This window comes from Homo sapiens, chromosome 4 (genome assembly GCF_000001405.40).
Source record: "Homo sapiens chromosome 4, GRCh38.p14 Primary Assembly".
NCBI lineage: Eukaryota > Metazoa > Chordata > Mammalia > Primates > Hominidae > Homo > Homo sapiens.
The window spans coordinates 11,644,536-11,662,508 of NC_000004.12; the positions used below are offsets into that span (position 1 = coordinate 11,644,536).

General features: G+C 40.3%; 1 long non-coding RNA gene across 1 annotated transcript in view, besides 1 other annotated feature; it reads left to right on the forward strand.

The window, feature by feature from the left end:
- Nucleotides 1-17,973, forward strand: part of LOC107986178 (uncharacterized) — a 245,894-nt gene that overhangs the window by 100,563 nt on the left and 127,358 nt on the right. The gene's annotated exons all lie outside the window — the stretch shown is intronic.
- Nucleotides 5,648-6,847: an enhancer, noted in NCBI's record as "P300/CBP strongly-dependent group 1 enhancer chr4:11651807-11653006 (GRCh37/hg19 assembly coordinates)". NCBI's record gives its function as "activates an origin of replication core promoter dependent on BRD2, BRD4, P300/CBP, MED14 and CDK7 cofactors, with strong dependence on P300/CBP, by STARR-seq in HCT116 cells {active_cell/tissue: HCT116}" and the evidence as "EXISTENCE:reporter gene assay evidence [ECO:0000049][PMID:35650434]".

The following is a 17,973-nucleotide window of genomic DNA, read 5'->3' on the forward strand; positions in this document are numbered from 1 at the left end:
AAATGGGTAATAAAAAATGCCTCCTGGGAGAACCTAGTCATACTTTTAGCCTCATACCTAACTTTGTCATTTGCTCAGCATATTGCTTTATTGGATATATTCATTCATTGCCTTGGTTCCCCTTGGAGATGTCACCATTCATCCATCAACTTGTAGTTCTTTCCACATTGTTACAGTAGACAAATAAAAAGCAGCTCTCTAGGGCATTGTGGGTTAATTTGCCACCAACTATCCTCATCAATTCACTTTTTTTCCGCCTAGAAATTTTAGGCTTACAACTGCCTCCTTGAACTCTCATTAGGAATTCTGATTCATGACCTCCTTCTAATAATTTTGGCTTCTGATCTCAGCTCGCTTGTTTGCATTGAAACCAGTGGTATAGATTGAATTGTATTTCCTCAAAATTCATATGCTGAATCCCTAATACCCAGTAACTCAGAATGTGGCTACATTTGGAAATAGAGCCTTTACAGAGGTTATTAAGTTAAAATAGGACCATTGGAGACACTAGGAAACCCTAATTCAACAGGACTAATGTTCTTAATGGAAGAAGAAATTTAGATACACAGAGAGATACTAGAGGTGTATGCATACAGAGGAAAGACTAAGTGATCACACAGTGAGAAGTAGCCATCAGCAAGCAGGAGAGAGAGGCCTCAGAAGAAACTCAACTTCCCAACACTTTGATCTTAGACTTCTAGCCTCCATAACTGCGATAAAATGAATTCTATTTTTTAAGCCACATAGTCTGTGGTACTTTGCTAGGGTAATCCTAACAGCCTAAAAATTAGATTGCCCTTTACGTCTGATACTTGGTACTGCTTTTCAAGAAGCACCAAGTATCTCTGACTTTCTTCTTGACTGCAATTCATTGTTCACCACTTATTTGTGCTTATTTATACTTCTATATAATACTAACTCTCTCTGCCCAGCCAGCCCAGTCTGTTTACTACACATTAACTGCGTTCTCCTTGTAAACCAACCCTAAACCCAGATGTATTCCTCTTTGATTCAACCCCATCCAACCTGGCCTTTAAGAGGAACTTTGATAATGCTTTCTCCAAACATAGTTAAGTCAAATGAGCTTCAAGACATTGCTTAAATAACATCTTCTCAATGAGGCCTACCCAGAATTCCCTATTTAAAATTGCAAAGATCTCTTCACCCCAGCATTCCTTATCCCCTTTTTCTTCATCTATTTTTTCTTCCAAATATTTTATTGTGTACTTTTATGTATTTATAATATTAATGTCTTATTATGTCTTACCTTCCTGGAATATAATGCTATAAGACCAAGGTTCACTCTTGTATTCCAGGATTATAGAATAATGCCTGACACACACAGGCAAACAATAAATATGTGTTTAGTGAATGAATGACATATGTAGAGTTCTGGGGCCATGTCTTTCTCACTGAGCTCGATGGTGGCTTCTGTATCTTCCTTGACGTTTTGAGTCTCCTCATAGAAATTGATGCTTGAGAAGATAACTAAAATGCATGTGATAAAATTTTCTGTCAAACTTCTTGGCTATATTGAGGAAAATAATGAATGCCTGCAATTATCAAAGCCTATTGGAAAGAATTTTAATTAAGTAGTGGATGATAACTCAGGCATGATTTGGGTAGATTTGCCTATAAACAAGCAAAAAGATTCTATTCTATACAAATGGTGTATTTTTCACTCACAGACTTGACCAGCAGTAGAATAATTTCTTTAGTTTGGAAAATTTCAGGTTTACATTAATATAATTTCATCATAAACTATCACATTTTTCTCTCTGCTTTCAAGTACATAATTCATTTTATAAAGAGCTAAAGATGTTTTTAAAACAATTTAGGAGAAAGTAAGCAAAATAAAGGTCTAAAAATGTTAGCAAGAAAGCTAACAAGTTTCTTATAAGAAACCAGGAGAACTTAACTGTTTACAGTCTCCACTTTCCTGCAATGACATTGTAGGAAGAACACTGCATTTGTTTCAGCTCTTGCGAATTGAGCAAGGTGAATACGCTATATGCGATGCAGGCTCGTCCTCTGCAAAATGGGAGCAACAATAGTCTATCAAGTTACTGAGTAGCATCACTGAGAAAGCACAAAGGAAACTCTTGGTACACCATCTTGTATACCAAAAATAGTTTAAAATGCTCCTGAATACTGCCTTTGATTTGAGTGTCAAATTCCTGTCATTCAGTTAGACTCACATCAGGTCTCTCATGAACCTGAAATGTGTGCTTCCTTTACCCATGATGTCTCCCTCAATGTTCTACAAGTCATATTCATGTTCATTATCCTCACTTCCATCCTTGCCATTCTTTCACTTGTATCTTTCTGCCCATGAAAATCTTTGCCTGGAGAATTGTGTTAAAGAAGAAGAGGAAGAAGAAGGAGAAGGTTAGAAGAAGAAGAAGAGGAGGAAGAGGAAGAGGAGAAAGGAAGGAAGGAAGGAAGAAGAAAGAAGGAAGAAGGAAGAAAGAAGAAGGAAGAAGGAAAGGAGACTTCTGTCAATACCCATCCAAGCTTAGCAGGATAGGATGTTGTGCTGTGACTCTTTCATAATGCCTGTCACTGGCCTGGTATGGGTACTGGTGGAACGTTTGCAAGACACTGGCTGTTCTAGAGTAAGGTGAGGTAGATGCAAAAGGAAGGGGTGAGAGGTCACATGGACAGCTGTCAAGGAAGGGGAAATTAAAAACAACCTTGAAAAGCCAAGAAAGCCTTTTGTGTTTGACGTGTTGTGTTTGACGTGATGAGAAATATATAACCAATTTGATTATAGGTGTGGCTCTTTGCAGGGGAGACATTGATTAGACATTGGAAGAAGTAAGGAAAAGGTAGATTTATGGGGCCTGTGAATATCAGATGAAAAGGATGGTATGAGCTGAAAATAGAAAAGCCTGCTTTTAAATCACTCTGTGAGTAGAATAAGAACATAGAGAACAGCTCATCTTTTACTTAAGACAGTCTATAAAAGCTAAGAGGGGAAGACTTGCTACTGACAGAATTAATGAGTTCTCTCTCTCCACCAGTCCCTAAGCTCTTCCACTCAGACAAGGAACCTCAGGGGTCCCAGGGAACAGGGGCCTCAGGAATAAGGAGAGAGTCTTTGACCTTGTCAAAATGCATTTCTGCCTGAATCAGGACATGGCTATTTATCTTGTGAGACAGTCCCTGGTCAGGGTGTGAATAGTTCTTTCTTTGTGAATTTTGGTGACTACATCCTTTCAGAGACAACTCCCCAAAGATGTCATTCTCCTCACTGAGAGTTATTTTCACACACACAACTGCAAATTCTGAGACTGTCTAGAGGAATTCAAATACAATCCCTTGCCAGAGCCTCAAAATCTTCTGTCAATTAATATGATGACTTGACCTCTGAAATCCACAAGCCTGTAAACAAAAAGTGGGTTTATTTTAATCTAACAAAAAACTAGCTATAACTTCCAAGTATAAAAATCAAGTCGCCTAGATTCTAGAATGCAATAATAGTAACTCTTCATTCTTGCTTCACATCTAGTTTTTTTTTTTTTTTAATTTTTATCAGCATACCCCAGACATATATTTAGAAGTTAGATACACGCTTGGACATCTATTGCTTCTGTGTTGTTTTGTAAAAAAAGGGTGAAAGACAACCCTACGGTATTGGAGTTAGTATTTTAATTTTACAAACCGAGGCTAGATTTCAAAGTTGTTTTATTTTTGTCTCCAGAAATAAATATAAAATCAGTGTTATTTGATTCTAATCTTAATTTCCTGTTTTGGGGTTTGAAAAAAAATGTCTATAACAGGGTTGAGGGTCGCTTTTCTTCTTCTCTTTGGCAAAACGCTTTTCTTGTCAGCTTGGATGCTCTTCAGTACTCCTTCTAAATTTTACTCCTACTCCAAGGGTAACTTGGCTTGCCAACTTGTTCATCAAAGCTGCCCTGCACTTCTCAGGGGAATACTAGCTCTCTCCTTCTCAGGACTCTTCAAGACTCACTGGGAAAGTGTCCTTACTGCCCTTTATGGGTCATGATTTGCCTTGATGCCCCATTGTTGGCTCAAGTAGATCATAAGCAATTCCTAGACAGGGGCCAGGCAACACCTATTATGTTATGAATTGTGTTATAAATTATGGTATGAATTGTATTACCCCCAAAATTCTTATTTGGAGTCCTAGCCCTCAGCACCTTATATGATCTTATTTTGTTTGGAAATAAGTTTGTTGCAGATGTAATGAGTTAAGATGAGGTTGTGCTGCAGTAGGGCGAGCCCAATCCAACATGACTGGAGTTCTTATATAAAAAAGGAAAACGTGGACACAGACACTGTATTAGTCTGTTCTCATGCTGCTAATAAAGACATGCCTGAGGCGGGATAATTTATAAAGGAAAGCAGTTTAATTGACTCACAGTTCCACATGGCTGGGGAGGCCTCATAATCATGGCAGAAGAGGAAAGAAGAGCAAAGGGACATCTTACTTGAGAGCCAAGCGAAAGGGGAAACCACTTATAAAATTGTAAGATCTTGTGAGACTTACTACCATGGGAAGAGTGTGGGGGAACCACCCCCATGATTCAATTATCTCCCACTGGGTCCTTCCCACAACATGTGGGAATTATGGAAGCTAGAATTCGAGATGAGATTTGGGTGAGGACACAGCCAAACCATATCTGACACCCACGGGTGCCATGTGAACATGAAGGCAGAGATTGGGGCGATGCGTCTGCAAGCCAAAAAACAAAGATTGCCAGGAAACCACCAGCAAGCAGCCGCTAAGAGAGAGGGATGGAACAATTTCTCCTTCACAGCCTCAGAAGAAGCCAACCCTACCAACATCTCCATCTTGGATGTCTAGCCTTCAGAATTGTGAGACAATACATTTTATCAAAGCCACCAGGTGTGCGGTACTTTGTGACAGCCCCAGCAAATGAATACACCTTCCCTCAATGTCTCATAAATCATGCTTTGGTATAATATTGGGAGTAAGAAAAATGTATATTCTAATACAATCTGTGTCACATGTCAGCTATATGTTACTTAATTTCTCCAAATCTTAAAATTATCACATTAAAATCAAATCACTGACAATGCTTACTTAGTTTCCTTTCCTTTTGGTGAAAATTGAGTAAGATCACCCATAAAAAGACACTTAAAGTGTAAAGCACCTGACAAATGTTAGGTATGAACATTTTCATAGATAGCCACTGAATTTCTGTTGATGGGTTGAATAAAGTGGAATTAATGTGCCTTCTGTGAAAATGAATTTAGACACGGTCATTAGTGATGACCAAAAAAAAAAAAAAAAAAAAAAGCATACTGATACTCAGCAGAACTCGCCACTTTTGTTATTTAGTGCAAATACTCTCAAGCACTGTATCTACAAGGGCTTAGAGTCTTATTTGTTGAGATTACATGCTCCAAACTTTCTTGCTCCAATCTGGTCGCCACATCAGCAATATCTAGTGTTACTAGGGCACTTGCTAGAAATGCAGAATTCCAGGCCCCACCCCAGACTTCGTGAATCAGAGTCTGCATTTAATAAGATTCCTCATGTTAAAGTTTGAGAAAACTGCTGTAAAACATGTCTCCTATGTAACTCATGTTTTTAGAACATAAAAAATCATGATTAATACTTTTTTTGCAACCAAATGCATGCAACATAGAAAAAAGTCCAAGCTTTAGCATTTGACAGCTCCGGTTTTTAATGCTACAGCTGCCATGAAGTCCCTTAATATGTTGTGACTGAAACAAGATGATTTACCTTGTTAAGCTTCAGCCTTATAGCCTATAAAAGGGGGACAACAGAATATATATATTTTTAATTTTATTATTATTATACTTTAAGTTTTAGGGTACATGTGCACAATGTGCAGGTTTGTTACATATAACAATTACATTTAACTTGCCTGGGTCTAGAATAGCATTGAGAGATACTGCATGCAAACCAAGAGACATACGTCAGGTATTAAAAAAAAAAAGTCTAGGGGTCTGCATTTGTCCAACAAGTGCCCCTTCTGGTGCTTAATTTCTGATTGGTTAACCACCGTAGGGAAAGAAAACAAATTTGTCATGGGGGTCAGTGATTTCAAAGGAGGCCAAGTAATTTTATATCGTTTGTAAATTTTCTCATTAGAAAAGGTACCTATGACTTGGATAGCAGAAAAATGTGACGCTCACTGAGACTGTGCTAAGATCCCGGAGAGGAAGCCTCTGAGTTTTTCCGCAGCTCCAATCTTCCTTTGGAAGATATAACCATCCCTGAGATCTGGCATATGTTTCGCCAACTTCTTATCTGTCTCCGATGCCGTGGCACTCACAGCAAAAGGCGACATTCACTTAGAACTCTCCGTGGGAAACACCTCTTTGAGCCGCCCCCGGTTCAGGCATCACTGAACAGAAGTGTTTCATGTCTGCCGAGGCTGCTTTCACATGATTTTATTGTTTTGATCTTTTGAGCATCTTTTCAGTGCCAACACCGTCAATACATTCTTCCGAGAGAGGTCATCAGAGCATTGGTAATGAGCTGAGCAGGAGGCCATGTCATCTGAGTAAGCTCTGGGGAAATAGAGGCACTTTGTTCCTGAAACTCACATGGTGTGACCTGCTTGCTGTGCGAAATGTTAATATTTTGCTTCGTGCTTCCTTCCCGGTGCCACTGCCAACACTCAGAAAGCTTCTGGGGAGTTTGCTGCACATTTTGTGAAGACTGCATGGAGCCAAGCCAGATGTCAATGTGTGAATCAGAGCACTTCTCTCGAATTCGTGACTGTTCACTTGATTCTTTAGCACCTCCACGGAGGCTAAAATATGCCTGTTTGGAGGTGATATTTACTTTCTTTTCCTTAGTCAGATGATAAGATTATGTGGTGTGTGGATGACGGTGGCAATGATTACCTTTTCTCAGTAACTACAGTAAGAGCTCACGTCACAACATTGCCTCCTTAAGATCCACTGGCTTCCTCACCCCTCTGATGGAAGTAGCTTCAATTTTCTCAATGAACCTAGAGGCATTGGTCTATTCTAGTCAGATGTCTTTAAGATTTGGCGAGTCTCTCTTTTTTCTTTTTTTGAAACGTTTCACTGAAATAAAACTAACCTCTGGATTCACTGATGAAATACAATTATATTTATATATGAATGAAAGGTAAATAGATGTATTTATCTATATATCATAGTTATACATGTATCTTCATACATATGAAATATAGATATATATTCATACATATTGAAATATAGACATATGTACACATTCTATATTAATGTTTTATGATACAAATAAAATCTATAAATACATATGATACAAATACAATATATACATTATATTATACAATATATAAATTTATATATAGTATAATATATAAGTACAATACAATGGTATTATTGTATACTATTGTACTTATACAATAAGTACAATATTATGTATATATTGTATATTGTACTTATACAATAAGTACAATATTATGTATATATTGTATATTGTACTTATACAATAAGTACAATATTATGTATATATTGTATATTGTACTTATACAATAAGTACAATATTATGTATATATTGTATATTGTACTTATACAATAGTATAACATTGTATAATACTATTGTACTTATACAATAAGTAAAATACTATGTATATATTGTATATTGTACTTATACAATAGTATAATACTATGGTACAATACTAAATACTATTGTATTTATACAATAAGTATAATACTATGAATATATTGTATATACTCACACAATTATAAAAAATTATATATAAATTTATTTTTATATAAATAAATTGTTCTATATAGTACAATACTATTTATATATTGTATAAGTAATAAGTACTATATAAAGTACTTTATATATTGTATATTTGTATACAATATATAAATAGTATTATACTATATATACACATATATACTGTATATACATGTATATGGTGTACTTATACAATATATAAATGTATATAGTTACATATGTATTACAACACATAAACAAACAATCAATAAGTATTGTTTGTCACTGGCCTGGCATAGGTACGTGTAATTCTCCATATAGAATTACACTGTCACTGGTCTGGAGCAGGTATTGGTGGAACATGTATAAGACACTGGTTGTCCTAGAGGAGGGTGAAGTAGTTGCAAAGGGAAGAGGTGAGAGGTCATGTGGACACTTGTCAATTGAGGAGAAACTAAAAACCACTTTAAAAAGGCAAGAAAGCATATTGTGTTTGAAGCGATGAAAAATCTATAACCAATTTGATTATAGGTGAAATATATTGCACATGTTTGATTATATATAAGAATATAGAAATGTATTATTTACCTGCATATTGTAGAATGAAATGTAAAGCAACTGACACTATACATGGCAAATGCTTAGTTCTTTTTCCTTCCTACTCTGCCCTTTGTAGGAATGTTCTAGTAAATTCCCTACATGGAGCACACATTATCATTGCTATATTTTGGAAAATGATCAGATACACAAAAAGTAACTGGAGTAAGGATGAACTAGACTGAATTAGGTGGTGCTGAGACCACAGAGCAGATATGTCTTCCAAAGAGAAATAGCACCTGGGCAAATAAAAAAAGTGAGCCATATGAACTTCAGCTTTTATCTTTCCTCAACTCTTAGGAAGTGTAGCCCAGCAATACAGCAGAGTAGACAAATACTATCACAACCAGAAACAGGCAGTTATGACAGGGGACTGCTCAATGTTACAGAGGAAGTTATTATAAGAAGAAGTATAGTTTTAATAATGATGATCCTTGCAGTTTTAAAGTTCATTTTGAATTTAAAACCAACTTCAGATATGTAGGGGAAAGTGTGCCAATGTCTGCAAGTTACTAGAAAGTACATTAAAAAAATGTGGATTGATGAATGGAGTGATGAACAGATGGACAGACATGTCATAAAGCAAGTATAGTAACATGCAAATGATAGATTTTTCCATTTATGGATATATGGATGTTTTTGGTACAGTTCTTTCAGCTTTGCTTTATGTTTGAAAACTTAGTAACAGAATGATGAACAAAGATGATTTAATGGACCTGACCCCATACAATTTTTCATGCACGTCCCTGTGAAGAGACCACCAAACAGGCTTTGTGTGAGCAACAAGGCTATTAATTTCACCTGGGTGCAGGCGGGCTGAGTCTGAAAAGAGTCAGCTAAGGGAGACAGGGGTGGGGCCGTTTTATAGGATTTGGGTAGGTAAAGGAAAAAGCGGGGTTGTTCTCTGGCAGGCAGGAGTGGGGGTCATAAGGTGCTCAGTAGGGGAGCTTTTGAGCCAGGATGAGCCAGGAGAAGGAATTTCACAAGATAATGTCATCAGTTAAGGCAGGAACGGCCATTTTCATTTCTTTTGCGGTGGAATGTCATCAGTTAAGGCAGGAACAGGCCATCAGGATGTGTACATGCAGGTCACAGGGGATATGATGGCTTAACTCGGCCTCAGAGGCCTGACATTCCTGTCTTCTTATATTAATAAGAAAAATAAAATGAAATAGTGGTAAAGTGTTGGGACAGAGAAAATTTTGGGGGATGGTATGGAGAGATAATGGGCGATGTTTCTCAGGGCTGCTTCCAGCGGGATTAGGGGCGGCATGGGAACCTAGAGTGGGAGAGATTAAGCTGAAGGAAGATTTTGTGGTAAGGGGTGATATTGTGGGGTTGTTAGAAGAAACATTTGTTGTGTAGAATTATTGGTGATGGCCTGGATATGGTTTTGTATGAATTGAAAAACTAAACGGAATAAGAGAAGGAGAAAAACAGGAATTAAATGTCTAAGAATTGGGAGGACCCAGGACATCTTATTAGAGAGTGCCTAAGGAGGTTCAGCGTAGTCCTGCCAGCAAAGATTATTTATTTACTTCAAGAGTTAAGAGCGGCAGTTTGGGGATAGCACCAGGAGATATCAGCTGTGATGGCTTGGAGAAACTGTAAACTGGCAGTGTAAACAAGAGCAGGGCATGTATGAGTAGTTGAGAACGGTGAATAGGAGTATCACTAGACAGAAGATAGTAGGGATGACAAGTTTTTTGGGACACAGTCCAAGTTGGTCTGGTGTCTGGAATAAGACTGGGGCCTAATAAAAAGGAGTGTCTATACAGGAGCTCATATGGGCTGTACCCTGTAGCATTCTGAGGACAGGCCTGAATTCTGAGAAGCGAAAGTGGTAAAAGTATTGTCCAGTCCTTTTTAAGTTGGTGGCTGAGCTTGGTGAGGTGTGTTTTTAAAAGACCATTAATCTGTTCTACCTTTCCTGCAGACTGAGGACCGTAAGGGATATAAAGGTTTCACTGAATACTAAGAGACTGAAAAACTGCTTGGCTGATTAGACTAATAAAGGCTGGTCTGTTATCAGACGGTATAGATGTGGAAAGGCTAAACTGAGGAATTATGTCTGACAGAAGGGAAGAAATGACTGCGGTAGCCTCCTCAGACCCTGTAGGAAAGGCCTCTACCTATCCAGTGAAAGTGTCTACTTAGACTAAGAGGTATTTTAGTTATCTGACTCGGGGCATGTTGAGTAAAGCTAATTTGCCAGTCCTGGGTGGGGGCAAATCCTCGAGTTTGATGTGTAGGGAAGGGAGGGGGACCGAATAATCCCTGAGAAGCAGTAGAATAGCAGATGGAACACTGAGAAGTTATTTCCTTGAGGATAGATTTCCATGATGGAAAGGAAATGAGAGGTTTTAAGAGGCAGGCTAGTGGCTTGTACTATAGCATAGCCTGCCTTTGATGGTGTGTGGTGATTAGGCCTGATGGAACTTCCATCAATAAACTAAGTGTGATCAGGGTGAGGAACAGGAAAAAAGGAAATATGGGGACATGGGGTGAATGTCAGTTTGATCAGAGAGATGCAGTCATGAGGGTCAGGTGTGGTACCTGGAATAATGTGGGAGGCCGGATTGAAGTCCAGGCCAGGAACAATGGTAATTGTGGGAGACTCAACAAATAGTAAGTACAGCTGAAGGAGCAGGGAGCAGAAAGTATATGCGTCAGGTGTGAGGAAGAAAATAGATTTTGGAAATTATGAGAGCTGTAGAGAGTGAGTTGAGCATAGTTTGTGATTTTAAGGGCCTCTAAAAGTATTAGGGCAGCAGCAGCCACTGCACGGAGGCATGATGGCCAGCCTAAAACAGTAAGGTCAAGTTGTTTGGACAAAAAGGCTACAGGACATGATCCTGGTCCTTGTGTGAGAATTCCGACTGCACAGCCCTGCACTTCAGCTGTGTGTAATGAAAAGGGTTGGGATGAGTCAGGGAGAGCTGGGGTGGGGGCAGTCTCTAAAGCTGTCTTCAAGGAATGGAAAGAGGAGTGGGGAAAGGATTTAGGATCTATGGGGTCAGCTAGGTTTCCTTTTGTGAGTTTATATAATGGTTTTGTTAGGATGGCAAAACCAGGTATCCAAAGGCGAAAGTATCCAAGCATGCCTAGGAAGGAAAGGAGTTGTTGTTTTGTAGAAGGGGTTGGGGTTTGAGAGATCAGTCGGACACTATCGGCAGGGAGAGCACATGTGTTTTTATGAAGAATTATGCTGAGATAGGTAACAGATGAGGAAGAAATTTGGGCTTGACTGAAGTAATGGGGGCTGTCTGTGAAGACTTGGTGCAGTACAGCCCAGGTTATTTGCTGAGCCTGATGGGTGTCAGGGTCAGTCCAAGTGAAAGCAGAGAGGCTGGGATGAAGGGTGCAAAGGAATAGTAAAGAAAGCACGTTTGAGATCCAGAACAGAATAATGGGTTATGGAGGGAGGTATTGAGGATAGGAGAGTATATGGATTTGGCACCACAGGGTGGATAGGCAAAACAATTTGGTTGATAGGGCGCAGATCCTGAACTAACCTGTAAGGCTTGTCTGGTTCTAGGACAAGTAAAAAGGGGGAATTGTAAGGAGAGTTTATAGGCCTTAAAAGGCCATGCTGTAGCAGGCGAGTGATAACAGGCTTTAATCCTTTTAAAGCGTGCTGTGGGATGGGATATTGGCATTGAGAGGGGTAAGGGTGATTAGGTTTTAATGAGATGGTAAGGGGTGCATGATCGGTCGCTAAGGAGGGAGTAGAGGTGTCTTAGGTGGGGAGATACAAGGGGAGGATGTGAAGGAGGCTTTGAACTGGGGGAAAAGGCAGCAATAAGGTGTGGCTGTAGCCCAGGAATAGTCAGGGAAGCAGATGATTTAGTTAAAGTGTCTCAGCCTAATAAGGGAACTGGGCAGGTGGGGATAATTAAAAAGGAGTGCTTAAAAGAGTATTGACTAAGTTGGCACCAGAGTTGGGGAGTTTTAAGAGGTTTAGAAGCCTGGCCGTCAATACCTACAACAGTTATGGAGGCAAGGGAAACAGGCCCTTGAAAAGAAGGTAATGTGGAGTGGGTAGCCTCCGTATTGATTAAGGAGTGGATGGACTTACCCTCCACTATGAGAGTTACCCGAAGCTCGGCGTCCATGATGGTCTAGGGGGCTTCTGAGGCAATCAGGCAGCGTCAGTCTTCAGCCACTAAGCTGAGAAGATCTGGGAAGGAGTCAGTCAGAGAGCCTCGGGCCAGAGTTCCAGGGGCTCTGAGAGTGGCTGCCAGGTGAGTTGAACAGTCCGATTTTCAGTGGGGTCCCGCACCGACGGGACGTGGCTTAGGAGGAATCCCAGGCTGTGGGCATTCCTTGGACCAGTGGCCAGATTTCCGGCACATGTAGCAAGCTCCTGGGGGAGGAGGTTCTGGAGGAACCCCTGGCAGCTGCGGTTCGGGCATTTGGAGTTCTTGTGTGCTGGAGATGTGGCTGGGGTTTGTCTCACAGTGGAGGCAAGGAATTGCAACTCAGAAATACATTGCTACTTGGCTGCCTGTACTCTATTATTGTACACCTTGAAGGTGAGGTTAATTAAGTCCTGTTGTGGGGTTTGAGGGCTGGAATTTAATTTTTGGAGTTTTATTTAATGTCAGGAGTGGATTGGGTAATAAAATGTATATTGAGAATAGACGGCCTTTTGACCTTTTAGGGTCTAGGGCTGTAAAGCATCTCAGGGTTGCTGCCAAACAAGCCATGAACTGGGCTGGGTTTTTATATTTGATGAAAAAGAGCCTAAACGCTATCTGATCTGGGATGAAGAAAAAGGAGCATTAACTTTGACTATGCCTTTAGCTCCAGCCACCTTTTTAAGAGTAAATCGCTGGGCAGGTGGGGGAGGGCTAGTCGAGGAATGAAACTGTAAGCCGGACTGGGTGTGAGGAGGGGAGGTGATAAAAGGATTATAGGGTGGAGGAGCGGAGGCTGAGGAATAATTGGGACCTAGCTCAGCCTAGCGAGGAGGGGAGAGGTCAGATGGGTCTGTAGAAAAGGAAGATTAGAAAGACTCAGTGACGGTTGGGGTTGGAACTGAGTGGACAGGCAGGAGGGAAAGAAGGAAGATTTCGGAAAAGTTGCATTCGGAACAGAGACTAGGGAAGGACTGATGTGTAAAAGAATGCCTGGATGTCAGGCACCTCAGACCATTTGCCTATTTTATGACAAGAATTATTTAGATCTTGTAGGATGGAAAAATTGAAAGTGCCATTTTCTGGCTATTTAGAACTACTGTCGAGTTCGTATTGGGGTCAAGCAGCATTGCAGAAGAAAATAAGACGCATAGATTTTAGGTCAGGTGAGAGTTGAGGTTTTAAGTTCTTAAGAACACAGGCTAAGGGAGAAGAAGGAGGAACGGAAGGTGGAAGGTTGCCTATAGTGAAGGAGGCAAGCCCAGAGAAAAGAGAGTAGAGACACGGAGAAGGGGTGGGGGGTTCTTGCCCTCCAGAAAAGCAGAGAAGGGCATGGAAATAAGGGGTTGGGGCACAGAGATAAGAGGTTGGAGCATGGAAATAAGGGATCCGGGTGCAGAGATAAGAGGTCGCGGTCCCTGCCCCTCCCCCAGAAAAGCGGGACTTGCCGCTAAGGGTGAAGGACCAAGGCAGGCATCCCTGCGTGGTCTGAAACCTGGGTGAATAATCAGAGAGGTGTCCCTGCAAGGATTAAACACCAAGGGAAGGCTGCCTTCCCTAGTCCATGACCGGCACCGGAGTTTTGGGTCCACTGATAAAACGTGTCTCCTTTGTCTCTACCAGAAAATGAAAGGAATTGAAATTAAGAGAAGGGAGAGATTGAAGTGTGGCACCAAGATTGAAAGGAGAAGGAGGTTGAGGGATAGTGAGGGAGGTTGGAGAAGAGAGTAAAAAGAGGCTGCTTACCTGAATTAAAATTGGTGTGATGTTCCTTGGGCTGGTGGGTCTGAGGACCTGAGGTTGTAGGTGGATCTTTCTCAGGGAGCAAAGACGGGGGATTGATCTCCCAAGGGAGGTCCCCCAATCCGAGTCACGGCACCAAATTTCATGTGCGTCCGTGTGAAGAGACCACCAAACAGGCTTTGTGTGAGCAACAAGGCTGTTTATTTTACCTGGGTGCAGGCGGGCTGAGCCTGAAAAGAGAGTCAGCTAAGGGAGATAGGTGTGGGGCCGTTTTATAGGATTTGTGTAGGTAAAGGAAAAAGGGGGGTTCTCTGGCAGGCAGGAGTGGGGGTCACAAGGTGCTCAGGGGAGCTTTTGAGCCAGGATGAGCCAGGAGAAAGAATTTCACAAGATAATGTCATCAGTTAAGGCAGGAACAGGCCATTTTCATTTCTTTTGTGGTGGAATGTCATCAGTTAAGGCAGGAACAGGCCATCTGGATGTGTACATGCAGGTCACAGGGGATATGATGGCTTAGCTTGGGCTCAGAGGCCTGACACAATTACCTCTGCAATCATGGAAGCCAGTTATTATCTGCCTTATTTCTTTCCTGAGAAAATTAAATCTCAAATAAGTGGTGAGTGTGGTAGTTAAACGTGGCAAGTCTATTGCTACATATTGGTTGGGCGAAGGGTTGAAATTCTAACTGCAGTTTCCAGCATGAGGTCCAAACTTACTGGATGACTAAAGTGGAGCTAGTTCAGGCTTTGGAACTGACCTACACTGGAATTCCATCTTCCCATATTCCACATGATCTTGAACAGGTATCATTTTAGAGCTTCATCTCTCATCTATAAAAAGAGCTTCAGTTTTCTCATCTATAAAAAGGATCTAATAGTACCTATCTTATAAGATTGCTTGGGACATTACACATAATCTACATAAATATGTAGACTACATATTCCTTTCAAACCCACATGTGTTTCTGCTCTTTCCATTTTCAGAGTCAAAGTAGCTCAAGGTAAGAAAAAATGACAATTTAGAAGTGGACTAAATCGATAATATTCTTTTTTATCCCCCAAGGGAATGATTGACTTTTCTTTATTTTTGCTGTTATTCATTCTACAGAAACAGGACCCTTTTATTCTTTGTTATTTGGTGGAATGAATAATCATGACTTTTTTTTTGACATTTTAAGTTTTTTAGTTAAATTTGCATTGTTTTTGTTCTACTTATCTGTGTATTTAGCACTTTAAGATTAAGTATCAACAGCAGGTTTCTCTTTCTCTGTTTTCCTGTCTATTTAATCTTTTTTTCGTGATTTTTAATAAAAATGTTAATTAAGATCCAAATGCAAGCTTACCTCCTGTTGCTTTATTACTCAGAACTCTGAGCGTCCTTCTTCCCTTCCGCTCCAGGCACCACTGCCTCTGTCTAAAAGTGATGGGATTTCTAGTTTTTATCGAAGATTTTGTTTAACTCTACAGTTAAGCCTTGGTTCCAATATCTTGAATTTAATTCATGGTATGTGGAAAAACAAATCTGTCTTCAATTTGCAATACTGGCCAACTTGCTCACATAAACGATCTAAAACCTCACCTCCTCAATTCCCTTCATCTGCAAATCACACAGCCTTTTCCTAATTTCCTGTCTTGAGAATGGGTCTCCCCATTCATTCCTCAGTCTTCATTACCTTTACCTCCCTAACTCATCCTCTCTTTTCCTCCTTCATCTATAGCTCCTCACACTCAGGGATTTCCATAGCACAGCAGAACCAATCTGGAGTCTGGATGAGCAGATTTAAAGCAAGGTTCTCCACCTCGGCTGCATGTGAGAATCCTTTGGGGAGATATATAAACTGAAACCACACAACTCCCAGATATTCTGCTTGAATTTATCTGGGTGGAGGCCATGCCTCAGACATTTGAAAATCCTTCCAGGTGGTTCTGAGGAGAAGGCAAGGCAGATAACCACAGATCTGGTAAATAAAATTTCTTAGAAGTGGGGCTAGTTCATGAAACAGCGCTTTTAGCAACACCTGGCCCCATCACCAAGTTTTTTTTTTTTTTTTTTTTTTTTGAGACAGAGTCTCGCTCTGTCACCCAGACTGGAGTGCAGTGGCACTATCTTGGCTCACTGCAAGCCCACCTCCTGGGTTCACGCTATTCTCCCACCTCAGCCTCCTGAGTAGCTGGGACTACAGGGGCCCACCACCATGCCTGGCTAATTTTTTTTTTTTTAAATTTTTAGTAGAGACGGGGTTTCAACATGTTAGTCAGGATGGTCTCGATCTCCTGACATCGTGATCTGCCTGCTTCGTCCACCCAAAGTGCTGGAATTACAGGCATGAGCCACTGCACCCCGCCATCACCGAGTATTTCTTATGTCTCAAAAAACTGAGATCCACTGATATTGATTATTATTTTGAATATAGAGAAAATAAGAGCCTCTACATAATAGGGCTATTGTGAGAATTAATTGGTTTAAAAATACGTGGTAATAACTTCAAACACTTTTACAGTAGCTCTTGAATAATTTAAGGTGCTATCATTGTAATTGTTATTATTGCTCTATCCCTTATAATTTAAAAACTTTTTGTTCTGGGAAAAAAAATTATTCTCAGAGAGGCTAACTGACCCAAATTTACATAACTAGTCTGGCATAACAAGCACATACATCCAGAACTCCTGTCATCTATCTGCTTTTTAAGCTTCTTATTTCCAGCATGCTATGTCATTTATTTGCTTTAAACAGTTAAGTTGCTATATAAAGAAGGTTACTGACATTGGCAATTATCAGAAACTCCAAGTTAAAAAATCAGGACACTCAGTACAAAGTGCTTCATTTTTTTGTGTCCCTACACCTTAGCTCTTGCTTTGAGTTCTGTGGCTTTCAGCATTCAGTAAAAATTTCCTTGCAGGTTCCTTTCAAATGCTATCTCCTATATAGTCGCTCTACTGGTGTCCCAGGTAATCTCTCTCTTTTCTGTGATCCCAGCACGCTCTAAATATCTCAGTTATATTACTTACAAACATGTGTTGTTCTATCTTCCTTAGTTTTGTTTGCTGGAAAAGACCATAGTTTATTAAATGTATACTTCAATAACTCTAAACCTTTATTGGCCCTGTGGTCAAAACATAATAGGTGGATAATGAACATATTCTTGTTGAATGAATTAAGAAAGAGTGGCCGGGCGCGGTGGCTCATGCCTGTAATCCCAGCACTTTGGGAGGCCGAGGCGGGCGGATCACGAGGTCAGGAGATCGAGACCATCCCGGCTAAAACGGTGAAACCCCGTCTCTACTGAAAATACAAAAAATTAGCTGGGCGTAGTGGCGGGCGCCTGTAGTCCCAGCTACTTGGGAGGCTGAGGCAGGAGAATGGCGTGAACCCGGGAGGCGGAGCTTGCAGTGAGCCGAGATCCCGCCACTGCACTCCAGCCTGGGCGACAGAGCGAGACTCCGTCTCAAAAAAAAAAAAAAAAAAAAAGTGAGTGAGTGGCTGCTTGAATGAACTGATGAGTGAATAAGGGAATGCGTTTTCGCTCCTGGGCTTGTTATAATCTTAAATTAGACAAACTCAGATACCCAAAGTCATAAGGTAGAGATTTTCAGGGACCCAATGTGCTCTTAAAATTTGCATTTTTCTATAGCTTACCCAATCCCTAATTCTCATTATTCAAATGACCATCTACTCTTAATTTAAGGGATGAAATATTAGTGCCCCTTAGAATTTTTGTAAGGAGCAGAATTGAGATTTTAGGAAATTTGCAAGGTTTCTTTGGGTCTTATCTCTAAAATGATGTTGCTGGAA